This window comes from Homo sapiens, chromosome 11, assembly GCF_000001405.40.
Source record: "Homo sapiens chromosome 11, GRCh38.p14 Primary Assembly".
In the NCBI taxonomy this organism is placed as follows: domain Eukaryota; kingdom Metazoa; phylum Chordata; class Mammalia; order Primates; family Hominidae; genus Homo; species Homo sapiens.
The window spans coordinates 18,932,364-18,948,799 of NC_000011.10; the positions used below are offsets into that span (position 1 = coordinate 18,932,364).

At 41.5% G+C, this 16,436-nt stretch overlaps 1 protein-coding gene across 2 annotated transcripts, besides 1 other annotated feature; it reads right to left on the minus strand.

Moving 5' to 3' along the window:
• Positions 1 to 1,135: 1,135 nt before the first annotated feature.
• Positions 1,136 to 7,051, minus strand: MRGPRX1 (MAS related GPR family member X1). Of its 2 annotated transcripts, NM_001393578.1 has the most exons (2): positions 6,917 to 7,051; positions 1,136 to 2,446 (listed from the first exon to the last, which is right to left on the minus strand). In NM_001393578.1, the coding sequence occupies exon 2, from the start codon at positions 2,419 to 2,421 to the stop codon at positions 1,453 to 1,455; it is 969 nt and encodes a 322-aa protein (NP_001380507.1). In that variant the 5' UTR covers positions 2,422 to 2,446; positions 6,917 to 7,051; the 3' UTR covers positions 1,136 to 1,452. The 2 variants fall into 2 exon arrangements, with proteins under 2 accessions (NP_001380507.1, NP_671732.3); NM_147199.4 differs by lacking the exon at positions 6,917 to 7,051 and having other exon boundaries at positions 1,136 to 2,639.
• Positions 10,693 to 11,194: an enhancer, noted in NCBI's record as "H3K4me1 hESC enhancer chr11:18964603-18965104 (GRCh37/hg19 assembly coordinates)". NCBI's record gives its function as "activates a minimal SCP1, AML or CMV promoter by ChIP-STARR-seq in naive and primed H9 embryonic stem cells {active_cell/tissue: H9 hESC(naive and primed)}" and the evidence as "EXISTENCE:reporter gene assay evidence [ECO:0000049][PMID:30033119]".

Sequence of the window (16,436 nt, forward strand, 5' to 3'; positions counted from 1 at the left end):
GGGTTAATTGCTGTGATGTCACATTTTCTCTTGATAATCTCTTCTGCCTGCTTGAGTTATCTGTGGAAATTATAACCACTGGTGGGGAATAGTCCTGAATTTTGTACTGATCCCATTTCTATAATTAACTGTTTTTAATTGTGGTAAAATTTACATAACATACATTTTACATCTTTAACCATTTTAAGTGTACAATCAGTGTCAGTAAGTACATTCACAATAAGTTGTAACTGTTACTACTGTCCCTTTTAAGAATTTTTCATTATTCCACACAGAAATTCTGTGCTCATTTAATAATGGCTACATATTCTCCCCATCATCTAGCACCAGGATCCTCCTAATTTAATTTCTGTGTTCACGAATTTCCTAGTTTGGATACCTGGTAGAATTTGAACTTACTGTTCTTTGGTATCTGGCTTATTTTCCTTAGCAGAATGTTTCCAGGTTCATCTATGTCAAGCATGTATCAGAATTCTATACCAACTGTAAGTTATTATCAAGATACCATAATTGACATTAGCATGGAAAAGTCAGATGTTATCAGTCTTGCCTCTCATGTTAATGGCCATTTAACTAACTGAAAGTTACAGCCAGAACAATTTGTACAAAACCTGGAAGTATGAAGAATTCTTCTACAACTGAAAGAGTCTGTAAGCAAATAATAAATGGTTTTCAAGATAATTTCCACTTTGAAACCAATATTGAGGTTTCCAATGGCCAAAATAGAACTGGGGCACATTTATGGGCTCCTCACTGGTCCATTAGTCCAGGAAGAGCTAAATAAGCACTTAAAAGTTCTCAAGGGGAAGGGGCCACAGTTGTCTTTACTAGAAACCAAGGCCAACATATCACCATGCTGTGAACAAATGACAGGGGAAGACTTTTTATAAAACCAATAGGTGAGAGTGTTTTTATGAAGAGAGAGTCTGTCTCTAAGGACATTATTTTGCTCTGTATCTGAGAATTCAATGGAATGTAGAGATAGCAGAACTCACTTATTAAGAATCGAGCTTCTAACTGCAGTAATGCCTCCAGTCATAGAAGGGAACATGATTTTCAGGGGAACATAGTCTGAGAGATTAATAAGGAATCTTCCTTTTTGATGCTATCAGGTAGGAAAGAAGTATAAAGAGTGTTTTAGGGTTTTGTACAGGAACTCCTTTTATTACAAAGAAAATTGCAGAAAAAGTGTTCTGTAGGAAAGATTCAGTGTGAGATAACAGGGAAAATGTGTTGGTAATATCAAGGAGAATCTAAACATTGTACTGTCAGACTAATGCTTTCCATGGGTGAAAACCGCAACTGTCAGGTTAGATAAACATCTATTTGAAGACCTTGAGGAACCACTGAGACATTTCTGAGGCAGAAGGCTAAGAAAAACGCATATAATTGTCAAGGGTGGCAGGGCAGTGTTGCTCTCAAAGTCCTGTCTGACAGGGCAGAGGCTCTTCCTCACTGCTCCAATCTGCTTCCCGACAGCTCCAGGATTTCCTCAGGAAGCTGCCCTCCACCTTCATCCACCTCAGACGCGTCCTGCAGAGCCCTCTGGAGAACCAGCTTCAGGTTCTGCCTATTTTGACGCTGCCTAAAGGAGCCCACGAAGAAGTAAATGATGGGGTTGGCACTGCTGTTAAGAGCGGACAGGAAAATAGAAACTAGATGAACATGACAAAATAAGACTTCCCTGTCCACGTGGATCCATAAAAATAGGAAAAACTGAATGCCAAAGGGCAGGCCACAGAGGAGGAAGACCAGTACTGTGAGCAGGATGGTCACGTACAGCCTGGTCAGCGGTATCTTCCGGGATCCACAGAGAATCCTGATCAGCAGGACCAGGCTGGACCCACAGAGAACCACACATAAAAAAATCAGCCACGCGACTGTGATGAAATCTGATGTTTGACACCAAGCAGAATCAGCACCACTGAACAGGAAGCCACATAACATCCACTCCAGGATGCTCCGCAGCAGGGACAGGGCCCAGAGCAGGACACACACCACCGCTGACAGGTGTGTGGGGCGGTGGCAGCGGTACCAGATGGGCCACAGGACGGACAGGCAGCGCTCGGTGCTCACGGCACTCAGAAAGCTCAGGCCTGCAAAGTAGGAAAACATCATCACAGGATAGAGGATTTTAGAGATGGTATGGGGGATACTGATGAAGCTTAACAGGGAATATATAAGGCGGCCGCTGAGGAAGAGGAAGTCTGCTGCGGCCAAGTTGAGGATGTAGATGGAGAAGGCGTTCCTGCGCATGCGGCAGCCCAGGAGCCAGAGCACAACTGCGTTTCCTGTCAGCCCGACAAGGGAAACGATGCACGTCAGCACCGTGAGGCTCAAGGTCTGCTTGTAGCAAAGAGTCTCCTCAGTTCCGTTGATTGGTGTCAGTTCTGTGTCCAAGGTTGAGATGGTTGGATCCATGCTCAGAAACCCTAGTCTGGTGACCCTGGAAACAGAAACCAGTTGTGATCACCAGCTGTATGATCTCTGATTCTCCCCACCACCCTGCCATGTGGGATTTACTTCCTCATTTAAAGAGGGCAGATCAGAGACTCACAGAGAATAAGTCACCTATCAAAAGGTGGGGGTCCTCAAATCCAGTTTGAAATCCAGTTCTTGCTGACTCTGAAGCCTGACCTCTCTCTACTGCCACACAAGTTCTGTGCTAACATGGGAATAACATTAGGATCAAAACACCCCCACTCATCTAGCCAGGGCTGTGGACCCGATGATTACTCTATCCTGGGCCTGAAATTTTCTCTCAGGGGGAGGAATTCAGGTATGCAAAGAGGTGGTTGTGACACCCTCATGACCAGGACTGATCATCCATGGACAGGAAAGGAGACCATGCATTATGAACCAGAGGAAAATGTGACCTTCGCTAGGATAAGTGTGAAAATGGCTGGGCCTGGTGGGTGAGAAATAACTCAGCATGTCAGTCATTGCAGACAGGACCACATTTTACATTTTATACTCCTAGTGCCTATTCCATAAGCAGCACACTGTGCTTTTCATATACATTCATTCAATGAATGAATGCATGCATGAGAAGCCTAATGGTAATGGTAGATTTGGGTGAAATGGAAAACAAAAATGAAAGCACAATGTAAGTTATTAGAACACCCATGTTTAATTAGGTACAGAAAATTTCATTCATCAGAATTCTATTTGTGGACAGCTCTATCTGTGTTGAGAAGAATGATTGATGAGTGCCCAAAACCTGAAATTGACCACTGATGTGCCTTTAAAATAAGGACTCAGTGTGGCTTTGCCGAACCCCTAGAAGCATTTTGTACACAGTGTTTTGGGTAGGGTGTGGGTCTGAGCTGAATTGCTCAGCAATAGAACAGAGGAAAGAGTAAGTGAGGGTGAGCCTGAGTGCCACTGCAGCAGGTAATTAAAGTGTGGGAATATCTGTGGGGCACTACTGAGTATTCTGCTGAGTATACACAATATAAACCTATTTCATTCTTTCTTTCAGGAGATCTTTGGTTCGTTTCTTTGTTGATGCAAACATTTGTATGTGAGGAGTCCATGAGGCGAAATAGGAGATATGTAGGGCTTGGAGTATAAAGAGAGATATTCATGTAGATTTCAACTGGAGAATGAGGACTGGGTCTAATCTGGGAGAATAAGAGCAGCTGATGGAGAGTTTATTAGGTATTGTCTGTTTTAATTATCTGAAGAGCCTAGGAGTTAAGAATGAGTATTATTCCCATATGTCAGATAATGCATTGGAACACAAAAAGAGTGAATTATTCATTCTGGGACTTATATAGTATGAATTTGAGCCCAGCAGGGCTGACTCATGATCCAGTCTTTGAGCAGCCCTTTACACCCAGCACGACTCTGTGTCGATTATACATGTTAGAGCGGGTAAAGGAGAGGAGGGATTCTCAAGATTAAATCCAAGTTGGCGGCAAAATTGTGGGTTGAAAAAAAAAAAAACTAACCTAAACCAACTTCAGATAGAGAAAGAGAAGCAGGTCAAATAGGGAACAAAATAGAGAAGAGTGAAAGCCATTTAGTAACAAATTCAGGAGTTCCTTTTTGCCTATCAGAGGCCACCTTTGCTCTGGAATCCCGAGAATGCACAGGGACAGGAGGCCTCCAGGTGGAAAGAAGACTCACCCTCCTCTGGGATTACAGAGGAGCATCAGGAGTGAGTGCATCCATCATGAGCTCTCTTAGAGAGACAAGCTGCCACAGCCTTGCTTGGCCCAAAAAGGAAATGGGAGGAAAAGGAGAACCTCTGTTATCCACAGGCAGGGCACTAAACACATTGTCCCTCTATATTTAGGGTAATGGTGTGTTTGTCTTCCTCATGAAACCTGAAGCTTCATAACGGCTAGTCATGCCTGTCTTTTCCACTGTGGTATCACCAACATTTAGCATGTGTTCTTTAAAGATCATCTATGGTATTATCTTAATATAACATAAGATGAAGCCGAGGCCTAGAGAATTAAAGTGTTTTCATGAGTTCACAACACGAAGAGCAGGCCCAATGCCAGCCCCTGGTCCCTGGAGCCCTGCATGAGACTTCTGTATGGTTCTCTGCCGCATGATTCATTATTTCAGAGGAGTTCCTGAAAAATCTTGATGTGAGTACAGAATCAGAGACAGAGGCAGAAGAGACTGCTAGGTTGCCCCAGTGTTCATTTTCCTGTTTGGTCACATAAAAATTCTGAGAGTTTAAAAGCGGCACAAGGACCTACATTCCAGTTTTCCTTGATGCTGGGTGCCATTTTATGACCAGGTGCTGTTCAGTGAAAGATGCACAAAAGTGATGTAAGCAAGTCCTGGCTCACAGGACCAATAGCAGGAGCAACGCATCTCCTTTCCTTATTTTTTTTCCATCATGCTGAAATGCTGGTGTGGCTGGGAACCATATAGGATCACAGGTATGAGGGCAACTCTCTAGGGACTCGAGAGTAGCAGTTTTTGGAATTCTGATGTACGATGCCTTGGAGCTTCCCGCACTGATCTCAAAGAGTGTCATTTCTGGATATTCACAGGGGCTTTCGCATATGGCAGATGTGTGTGCTGCTACCCCAGCACACACCAAAATCTGCAGATGCTCAATTTCCTTATATAAAATGATGTGATAGTTGTACAAAACCTATGCACTTTCTCCCAGATACATTAAATCACTTCTAAGTTACTTAGAATAACTGACAAAATGCAAATGCCATGTAAGTTCTTGTTTTACTGTGTTATTTCAGAAGTAATGACAAGGAAAAACAAGTTTGTACCTGTTCAGTACATGCACACCTCCGCCATACCCTTATTTTTGGAACAGTTTCCACCTGTGGGTTGTTGAATCTGCAGATTCAGGACCTAGTGACCCAGAGGCACCACTGTACTTTCTTATTTAAGATATTTCTACTTTGTGTCTTTATGAGAGGGGTCAAACTTGTATTCTAAACAAAAGAAATATGTTCTCTTTTTAAAATTACATTTTATTTTCTATGCATTTTGGATGAATGCAAACATTTCTGCATAGAAGTGACAGTAGAGAAAGACATGCCGAACATTAAAGTAGTCTGAAAGAGCTGAAATGAGACAGGAATCAATCACCTGTAGACAGAGACTGTCCCAGGAATTAGGAGGATATAAGAAGGAGAGAGGGATAGTCTCATTTGCTATGATGATTTGCTTTCCATTCTTCTCTATCCTGTTTGACACCCCAAGAGAGTGGCTTCTATGCACCACATCAGTGGGATTCTTTTTAATTCCAGTTTCTGGTGGAATTGAGACACTGGGAGACACCTGGATGAGACTGGAAGACAGCAGGAGAGCCACTTGGGATTTCCACCTCCTGGCTCTCTGCCTGTGTATTAGTTCATTCTTGAATTGCTACAAAGAAATACCTGAGACTGGGAAATTTATGAAGAAAACAGGTTTAATTGGCTTATGGCTCTGCGGGCTATGCAAGAAGCATAGCAGCTTCTGCTTCTAAGAAGGCCTCAGGAAGCTTCCAATCATGGTGAAAGGCAAAGGGGGAGCAAGTCATCTCACATGGTGAGAGCAGGAGCAAGAGAGACAGGGAAGAGGTGCTACACACTTTTAAACAACTAGATTGCATGAGAACTCACTATCACTAAGGCAATACCGAAGGGGGATAGTGTTAAGCCATTTATGAGAAACCATCCCCACTATTTAATCACCTCCCACCAGGCCCTCCCTCCAACACTGGGAATTACAATCAACCTGAGATTTGGTTGGGGACACAGATCCAAAGCATATCAGCCTGTGTGGCTGTGTGTTGGCCGTGCAAGGCTTCTCCACCTGCCTGCTGGAGCTCTACCACCCCTATGGCTACAGCTATGGCTATGGCGACAATGGTAACTGCTCCTTCCTTCTCCCTTTCAGCCTAGGGGAGGACTTAGTCCTCCCCTATGTATTGTTGCTTAGGGTGCTGACCCATGCATTGTCTCTTTCCCTTAACCTTGCACATCTTTGTAAATACTTCCCTCACGAAACACTCCTCAGTCATTTCAGTTTGGACCACCTATTTCTTCCTTGAACCTTTCCAGACAGGCAAGGAATAATAATTTAGAAAAGTAAGTAAAACAACAAAACCTGCTTCTACAGCAGTTCAACTCTGTGAAGCAATGCTTGCATGTCCTCTAGCTCCTTAAATGAATGTGAGAGGCAGCATTTTCTCTAAGAGGACAGGTTCAGTGATTGGAATAAGGGAGGTGATATGGACAGATAAATCAAATGGGGGGACTCCAGTTGAAACTCACACAGTCTGGGTTGGCAGCACTCAGTTTCCAGAAGGAAACTTCATGTCCCCTGTCTTTTCCTGAAACAAGCTCATGATCCCCTGCCTGTAGCACCTAGGTGGAAACAGAAACGATCTTATAGCAAAAACCATGACTGACTATGGAAGAAGACAAATCTTGGTACTTACCCTTATCTTTTTCTCCTTTGTCCAGTGGTGAAGACGTCCCTTGTGCTAAAGGTGGAGGGCCTTTCTGGGATTCAGTGACTTCAGAGAACCCTTCTGTGTTGCTTAATTCAGGAGATGCATACAGGAGCTGGAGTCAAAGCTGGTGAGCAATCCAGGCTTATGAAGATGCTGGACAGACTTGTTATTTCCTGTATGAGGACTATGGACAAATCAGTGGCCAGAGGTATTGGAGACACAAACCCTACCTGAGATGATTCTTGGCCTCTGTCCCATATCCAATAGAGATAAGCCTCTCCCATCACATTCCATCTTGTTCAACTTGCTTGATAAAAACAGTGGCGCAGTTTGAGAGAATGGACTCCCATTTTAAAAGAAGTTCTATTGTGTATAAAATGCTATGCAAATAGCATTGCATGCTACATTAAAATCTTTCATAAAAGGATGAGTCAGTTGATGTGGCAGACTTCACTGTTGTCTTGTTTTAAGATATTGGCACAGCCTGTCTTACCTTCAGCAGCCACTTCAGCAGCCATCAATATCAAGCAAGACCCTCCAGCAGCAAAACGTTTGGCTTGATAAAGTTTCTGATGCTGGTTACCATTTCTTAGTGAAAAAGTATTTTTTTAAGTAATGCATGCACATTGCTTTAGACATAATGCCATTGAGACTCAATAGAGTACAGTATAGTGTAAGCATAAATTTTACATGTACCGGGACACCAAAAATTCATGTGATTCACTTTATTGTAATATTTGCTTTATTGCAGTAGTGGAAGTGGACTTCTAATATCTTCAATGTATGCCTATTATGATAAAGGTTGTATATCAAAGTAGTGTGTAAAACAGGCACAATTGAATGAATGGGATTGGGACAACTGAGTTTCTGTGTGAAATAAGTAAAGGTGGAAACATACTTTACATATGATTTGAGGATACATGCAAATACACTACTTAAAATTTTATAATGAAAATACAATTACCTGGAGAAGCCATAGCCAAATAGTTTTTAAATCAAAGTGGAAAAAGACTTTCAATTATAGGATACAATTCAGAAGATATTAAAGAAAATATTTATAAAGACAAAAAGGCTAGCTGTGATGGCCCATTCCTGTAATCCCAGCACTTTGGGAGGCTGCGTGGGTGGATTGCTTGAGCTTACAAGTTTGAGACCATTCTGGGCAACATAGTGAAAACCCGTTTCTACAAAAAATACAAAAACTAGCCTGGTGTGGTGGTGCATGTCTGTAGTCCCAGCTACCTGGGACGTTGTGGTGGCAGGATGGCTTGAGCCCAGGCCGTGGAGGTTACAGTGAGCTGACATCACACCATTGCACTCCCCTGGCTGATAGAGCCAGACTTTGTCTCAAAAAAAAAAAAAGTTATTTTTTTTAGCATAACATTAACCATCATAATCAAGATATAAATAAACTGTGGCCAGGCATGGTGGTTCACCCCTGTAATCCCAGCACTTTGGGAGGCCAAGGCAGGCAGATCACCTGAGGTCAGGAGTATGAGACCAGCCTGGCCACCATGGTGAAACCTGGTCTCTACTAAAAATACAAAAATTAATTCGTTGTGGTGGGACACGCTTGTAATCCCAGCTGCTCGAGAGGCTGAGCAAGAGAATGGATTGAACCTAGTAGACGAAATTTGCAGTGAGCCAAGACTGTGCCTCTGCACTCCAGCTTGGGTGACAGAACGAGACTCCATCTCAAGAAATAAATTAGTAAATTAATAAAATTAAATAAATAAACTGGGAGATGTTTGGTAATGTATGTTATAGCCAAAGTATAAATTTTCTCTATTGATACAAATTTTTCTAAATGATGTTAATAATTCAAAATTGAAAAAGGTAATAAGAAAATAACTTTAAGTCATGATTCACAATTTCTAAAAAATAAAAATGGCTCCTAAACATATGGAAAGAGGAGAAATTCAACTCATAATGAAAGACATGCCAATTGAAATTACAGAGTTATATTTTATTTACCAAAATCTAAAAAACCATTAAGTTTTATAGCATACAGTGTGGGGATGGAGTGGGATCAGGTACCCTCACTCATTTCTGCTGGGGATGCAGATGGATACAACTTCCAGTGAAGGCTGTTTTCAACATATGGAAGCATGTATAAAGCACCATCCTTTTCTCTCTGTAATTCCTCATCTAAGAATTTATCTTAGAGATATATTTGTGCATGTTCAAAAGATCTATGTTCTGAGTTAATAAATGCAGTGTTATTTACAGTCAAAAACTGGTAACAGCCAAAATGGCCATCAATACTGTATAAATTACTGTCTATCTATGCAATAGAATACTCTGTAGCTACCCAGAAAGAGCAACAAACCTGATATAAAAGGCCCTGCAGAATTTGTTAGATTTTTTAAAAAGAATGCAGACCAATGTATATATTGTATGAAAAATATATATATTGTTTTATTATTAAATATTTGTGAATTAATATACACTTATTAGTAAGTATAATAGGATATGTCTTTGTTAACAAGGCAAGGATGCCTGAGGACCTAAAATGGGAATGACAGTTTTCAGTGAGTGTATTTAAAGATTATTTTTGAAAGCTTTGACTTTATTACCATGTCACAAATAAATTTTCAAACAAAAAACATAAATTTAATGATCTAGCTAAGAGAGGGAGTTAGAGATATGAGAAGATACAAGGAAGGGTGAGGAAATGAAGATAATGAGTACAGAAATCTCTTTGGAAGATATTTTTTTCTAAAATAAAGAAGATAAATCAGGCTGTGGATAGAGACGAATGGTTGCTTAGATGGTGTTTTATGCCACAAATAGGATGGGGTGTTTCAGTTGCAATGGAAGGATCCATTAGAGAAGGAAACATTGAAGATGTAGAAGGGAGAGGCAATAATGCTATAAAATGTTTCTGGGGAGGCAAAAGGGGAAACTGCACAAATGGAAAGGGTGGTTTCAAACAGGAATTTGCAGAGCCCATTTCCTGGCATGAGAGAAAATGCAGAGAGGTGTGCTCAGAGGCACATGGGGAGGTAGGTTCCCTCTGGGGAGATTGAGTAATTCTCAGAAGAGCATCACCTGACAGTGATTAAAAAAATAAATAAAGAGTAGGCGGTTTCAGGAGAGAGAAAATGTCGTGAAGATTTTCCTTTGGAGAGTGAGAGGCAATTATGGAAATGTTACGTGAGTGTTCAGGAGATATAAATGGACCTTTCAGGTTCAAGGTTATAAATGTACAGTGAAACCGCTGGGCATGGTTGTGTGTTGTGCTGCAGCCACACTCTGTTCTATGGGAACAGGCATGGAGTTAGTGGAGAGCTGGATTCAAGCAGGGTAAAAGACGAACTGATACTTCAGCAAGGACATATATGCATGACAAATAAACACATAAAAAGATGCTCAACATCACTAATGTTTAGGACAACAAATAAAAGTCACGAGATACCACTCTACCCTCTCAATATGGCTAAAATATAAAATACTGATAGTTTCAAATATTGGCTGAGATTTGAAGGAATTGGAGGTCTCATACACTGCCAATGAGAAAGTAAAATAGTAGAGCTACTCTGGGAAATCTTCTTGCATTTTCATATAATCCAGCAATCCAGCGTATCCTAGAACCTGGAAAATGTATCCTAGAAACTGGGAAACTGTGTTCACTTAAAAATCTGTACAGGAGGGGGGCCAAGATGGCCAAATAAAAACAGTTCTGGTCTGCAGCTCCCAGCGGGACCAACGCAGAAGACTGGTGATTTCTGCATTTCCAACTCAGGTACCCAGTTCATCTCATTGAGACTGGTTAGGCAGTGTGTACAACCCACGGAGAGCAAGGAGAAGCAGGGTGGGGCATCGCTTCATCTGCGAAGTACAAGGAGCCAGGGGACACCTGTCCCCCAATCAAGGGAAGCTGTGAGGAACCCTGCTACCAGCCCAGTACTACGCTTTTGAAATGGTTTTTGCGATCCGCAGATCAGGAGATTCCCTCGTGTGCCTACACCACCAGGGCTCTGGGTTTCAAGCACAATATTGGGCAGCTGTTTGGGCAGAGACCGACCTAGATGCAGGAGTTTTTTTCATACCCCAGTGGTGCCTGGAACTCCAGTGAGACAGATCCGTTCACTCCCCTGGAAAGGGGGCTGAAGCCAGGGAGACAAGTGGTCCCCTGCCTCAATGGGTCCCACTCCCACAGAGCCCAGCAAGCAAAGAACCACTGGCTTGAAATTCTCACTGCCGGCGCAGCAGTCTGAAGTCGACCTGGGGCGATTGAGCTTTGTGGAGAGAGGGGTATCCGCCATTCCTGAGGCTTTAGTAGGCGGTTTTCCCCTGACAGTGCTAAGAAGGCTGGGAGGTTTGGACTGGGCGGAATTCACCACAGCGCGGCTAAGCAGCTATGGCCAGACTACTTCTCTAGATTCCTCCTCACTGGGCAGGACATCTCTGAAGGACAGACAGCAGGCGCAGTCAGGGGTTTACAGATAAAATTCCTATCTCCCTGGGATGGAGCACGTGGGGGAAGGGGAGGCTGTGGGCGCAACCGCAGCAGATTTAATCTTTCCTGCCTGCTGCCTCTGAAGATAGCAGCTGATCCTGACAAGGGGGGTTCTCCCAGCACAGTGCACCAGCTCTGCTAAGGGACAGATTGCCTCCTCAAGTGGGTCCCTGACCCCCGTGCCTCCCAACTGGGAGAGACCTCCTAACAGGGGTGGACAGACACCTCATACAGGAGAGCTCTAGTTGGCATCAGGCCAGTGCCCCTCTGGAATGAAGCTTCCAGAGAAAGGATCAGGCAGCCATCTTTTGCTGTTCTGCAGCCTCCACTGGTGATACCCAGGTGAACAGGGTCTGGATTGGACCTCCAGCAAACTGCAGCCGACCTGCAGAAGAGAGGCCTGACTGTTAGAAGACCAACTAGCAAACAGAAAGCAATAACATCAACATCAACTAAAAAGACCCCCACACAAAAACCCCACCCAAAGGTTATCGGCCTAAAAGATCAAATGTAGATAAATCCAGAAATATGAGGAAAGCAGTGCAAAAATACTGAAAATTCCAAAAACCAGAAAGCCTCTTCTCCTCCAAACTATCGCAACTCCTCTCAAGCAACAGCGCAAAACTGCATGGAGAATGAGACTGATGAATTGACAGAAGTAGGCTTCAAAAGGTGGGTAATAACAAACTCCTCTGAGCTAAAGGAGCATATTCTAACCCAATGCAAGAAAGCTAAGAACCTTGATAAAAGGTTACAGGAACTGCTAACTAGAATAACCAGTACAGAGAGGAACATAAGTGACCTGATGGAGCTGAAAAACACAGCACAAGGACTTTGTGAAGTATACACAAGTATCAATAGCTGAATCAATCAAGCAGAAGAAAGAATATCAGAGGTTGGAGATCAACTTACTGAAATAAGGCATGAAGACTAGATTAGAGAAAAAAGAATGAAAATGAATGAACAAAACCTCCAAGAAATATGGGACTATGTGAATAGACAAACCTACAATTGATTGGTGCAACTGAAGGTGATGGGGAGAATGGAACCAAGTTCAAAAATACACTTCAGGATATTATCCAGGAGAACTTCACCATCCTAGCAAGACAGGCCAGCATTCAAATTTAGGAAACAGAGAGAACAACACTAAGATATTCCTCGGGAAGAGCAACCCCAAGACACATAATTGTTAGATTCTCCAAAGTTGAAATAAAGGAAAAAATGTTAAAGGCAGCAAGAGAGAAAGGTCAGGCTACCTAAAAGGGAAGCCCATCAGAATAACAGCGGATCTCTTTGCAGGAACTCCACAAGGCAGAAGAGAGTGGGGGCCAATATTCAACATTCTTAAAGAAAAGAATTTTCAACCGTGAGTTTCATATCCAGCCAATCTAAGCTCCATAAGGAAAGAAGAAAAAAAATCCTTTCCCGACAGGCAAATTGTAAGGGATTTTGTCATCACCAGGCCTGCCTTACAGGAGCTCCTGAAGGAAGCACTAAATATAGAAAGGAAAAACTGGTACCAGCCACTGCAAAAACACGCTAAAATATAAAGACCAATGACACTATGAAGAAACTGCATTAACTAATGTGCAAAATACCCAGCTAGCATCAGGCAAATTGGATAAACAGTGAAGACCCATAGGTGTGCTATATTCAGGAGACTCATCTCACGTGCAAAGACACACATAGGCTCAAGATAAAGGGATGGAAAAATATTTGCCAAGCAAATGGAAAGCAAAAAAAAGCAGCGGTTGCAATCTTAGTCTCTGATAAAACAGTCTTTAACTAATGAAGATCAAAAAAGACAAAGGAGGGCATTACATAATGGTAAAGGGATCAAGGCAACAAGAAGAACTAACTATCCTAAATATATATGCACCCAATACAGGAGCACCCACATTCATAAAACAAGTTCTTACAGACCTACAAAGAGACTTAGACTCCCACATAATAATAGCAGGAGACTTTTACACCCCACTGTCAATATTAGATCAAAGAGACAGAAAACAAGGATATTCAGGACTTGAACTCAGCTCTGGACCAAGTGAACCTAATAGACATCGACAGAACTCTCCACCCCAAATCAACAGAATATACAGTCTTCTCAGTGCCACATAGCACTTATTCTAAAAATCGACCACATAACTGGAAGTAAAATACTCCTCAGCAAATACAAAAGATTGGAAACAATAACAAACAATCTCTCTGACTGCAGTACAATCAAATTAGAACTCAGGATTAAGAAACTCACTCAAAACCACACAACTACATGGAAATTGAACAACCTGCTCCTGAATGACTACTGGGTAAATAACAAAATTAAGGCAGAAATAAAGACGTTCTTTGAAATCAATGAGAACAAAGAGACAATGTACCAGAATCTATGGGACACAGCTAAAGCAGTGTTAAGAGAGAAATTTATATACCAAATGCCCATATCAGAAAGCTGAAAAGGCTTGAAATCAACACCCTAACATCACAATTTAAAAAACTAGAGAAGCAAGAGCAAGCAACTTCAAAAGCTAGCAGAAGACAAGAAATAACTAAGATCAGAGCAGAACTGAAGGAGCTAGAAACACGAAAAACCCTTCAAAAAAATCAATGAATCCAGAAGCTGGCTTTTTCAAAACATTAACAAGATAGATAGACCACTAGCTAGACTAGTAAAGAAGAAGAGAGAAGAATCAAATAGACACAATAAACAATGATAGAGGGGATATCACCACTGATCCCACAGAAATACAACTACCATCAGAGAATACTATAAACATCTCTAAGCAAATCAACTAGAAAATCTAGAAGAAATGGATAAATTCCTGGACACATACACCCTCCTCCGATGAAACCAGGAAGAAGCCAAATCCCTGAATAGACCAATAACAAGTTCTGAAATTGAAGCAATAATTAATAGCCTATCAATGAAAAAAAGTTCAAGACCAGATGGATTGACAGACAAATTCTACCAGAGGCACAAAGAGGAGCTGTTACCACTCCTTCTGAAAGGATTCCAAACAACAGAAAAAAAAGATCTCCTCCCTAACTCATGAGGCCAGCTTCATCCTGATACCAAAACCTGGCAGAGACACAACAAAAAAAGAAAATTTCAGGCCAATAACCCTGAGGAACATCGATGTAAAAATCCTCAATAAAATAATGGCAAACCGAATCCAGCAGCACATCAAAAAGCTTATCCACCACGATCAAGTCAGCTTCATCCCTGGGATGCAAGGCTGGTTCAACATATGCAAATCAATAAGTGTAATCCATCACATAAACAGAACCAATAACAAACACCATGTGATTATCTCAATAGATGCAGAAAAAGCCTTTGATAAAATTCAACATCCCTTCATGTTAAAAACTCTCAATCAACTAGGTATTGATGGAACATATCTCAAAATAATGAGAGTTAATTATGATAAACCCATAGCCAATATGATACTGACTGGGCAAAAACTGGAAACACTTCCTTTAAAAACTGGAAACAAGACAGAAATGCCCTCTCACCACTCCTATTCAACACAGTATTGAAAGTTCTGGCCAGGGAAATCAGGTAAGAGAGATAAATGAAGGGTATTCAAATAGGAAGACAGGAAGTCAAACTGTCTCTCTTTGCAGATGACATGATTGTATATTTGGAAAACTCCATCATCTCAGCCCCAGAACTCCTTGAGCTGATAAGGAAATTCAGCAAAATCTCAGGATACAAAATCAATGTACAAAAATTACAAGCATTCCTATACACCGATAATAGAAAAGCAAAGCGCCAAATCATGAGTGAACTCCCTCTCACAATTGTTGCAAAGAGAATAAAAGACCTAGGAATACAGCATACAAGGGATGTGAATGACCTCTTCAAGGAAAATTGCAAACCACTATTCAAGGAAATAAAAGAGGATACAAACAAATGGAAAAAAATTCCATTCTCATGGATATGAAGAATCAGTATCATGAAAATGGCCATACTACCCAAAGTAATTTATAGTTTCAGTGCTATTCCCATCAAGCTACCCTTGACTTTCTACACAGAATTAGAAAAAACTACTTTACATTTCATTTAAAACCAAAAAGAGCCCATATTACCAAGACAATCCTAAGGAAAAGGAACAAAGCTGGAGGCATCACGCTACTTGACTTCAAACTATACTACAAGGATACAGTAACCAAAACAGCATGGTACTGCTACCAAAACAGATACATAGACCAGTGAAACAGAACAGAGACCTCAGAAATAACACCACACATCTACAACCATCTGATCTTCAACAAACCTGACAAAAATAAGCAATGGTGAAAGGATTCCCTATTTAATAAGTGGTGCTGGGATAACTGGCTAGCCATGGGCAGAAAACAAAAATTGGACCCCTTCCTTACATTGTGTACAAAAATAAACTCAAGATGGATTAAACACTTAAATGTAAAACCCAAAACCATAAAAAAACCCCAGAAGAAAATCCAGGCAATCGCATTCAGGACATAGGCATAGGCAATGACTTCATGATGAAAACACCAAGAGCAATTGCAAAAAAAGCCAAAATTGACAAATGTGATCTAAGTAACCTAAAGAGCTTCTGCACAGCAAAAGAAACTATCATCAGAGGGAACAGGCAACCTACAGAATGGTAGAAAATTTTTGCAATCTCACCATCTCACAAAGGCCTAATATCCAGTATCTTAAAGGGAGTTAAATAAATTTAAAAGAGGACAAAGTTCCTCTTTGCCCATCAAAAAGTGGGCAAAGAATGTGAACAGACACCTCTTAAAAGAAGACACTTATGTGGCCAACAAACATATGAAAAAAAGCTCATCATCACTGGTCATTAGAGAAATGCAAATAAAAACCACAATGAGATACCATCTCACAACAGTCAGAATGGTAATTATTAAAAAGTTAGGAGGCCGGGCGTGGTGGCTCATGCCTATAATCCTAGCACTTTGGGAGGCCGAGGTGGGCGGATCATGAGGTCAGGAGATCGAGACCATCCTGGCTAACATGGTGAAACCCTGTCTCTACTAAAAGTACAAAAAATTCGCCAAAAAAAA

What these genes read in the sequence shown, in the direction of transcription:
- MRGPRX1 (NM_001393578.1), bottom strand. Translation starts at nt 2,421, where the DNA reads ATGGATCCAACCATCTCAACCTTGGACACAGAACTGACACCAATCAAC.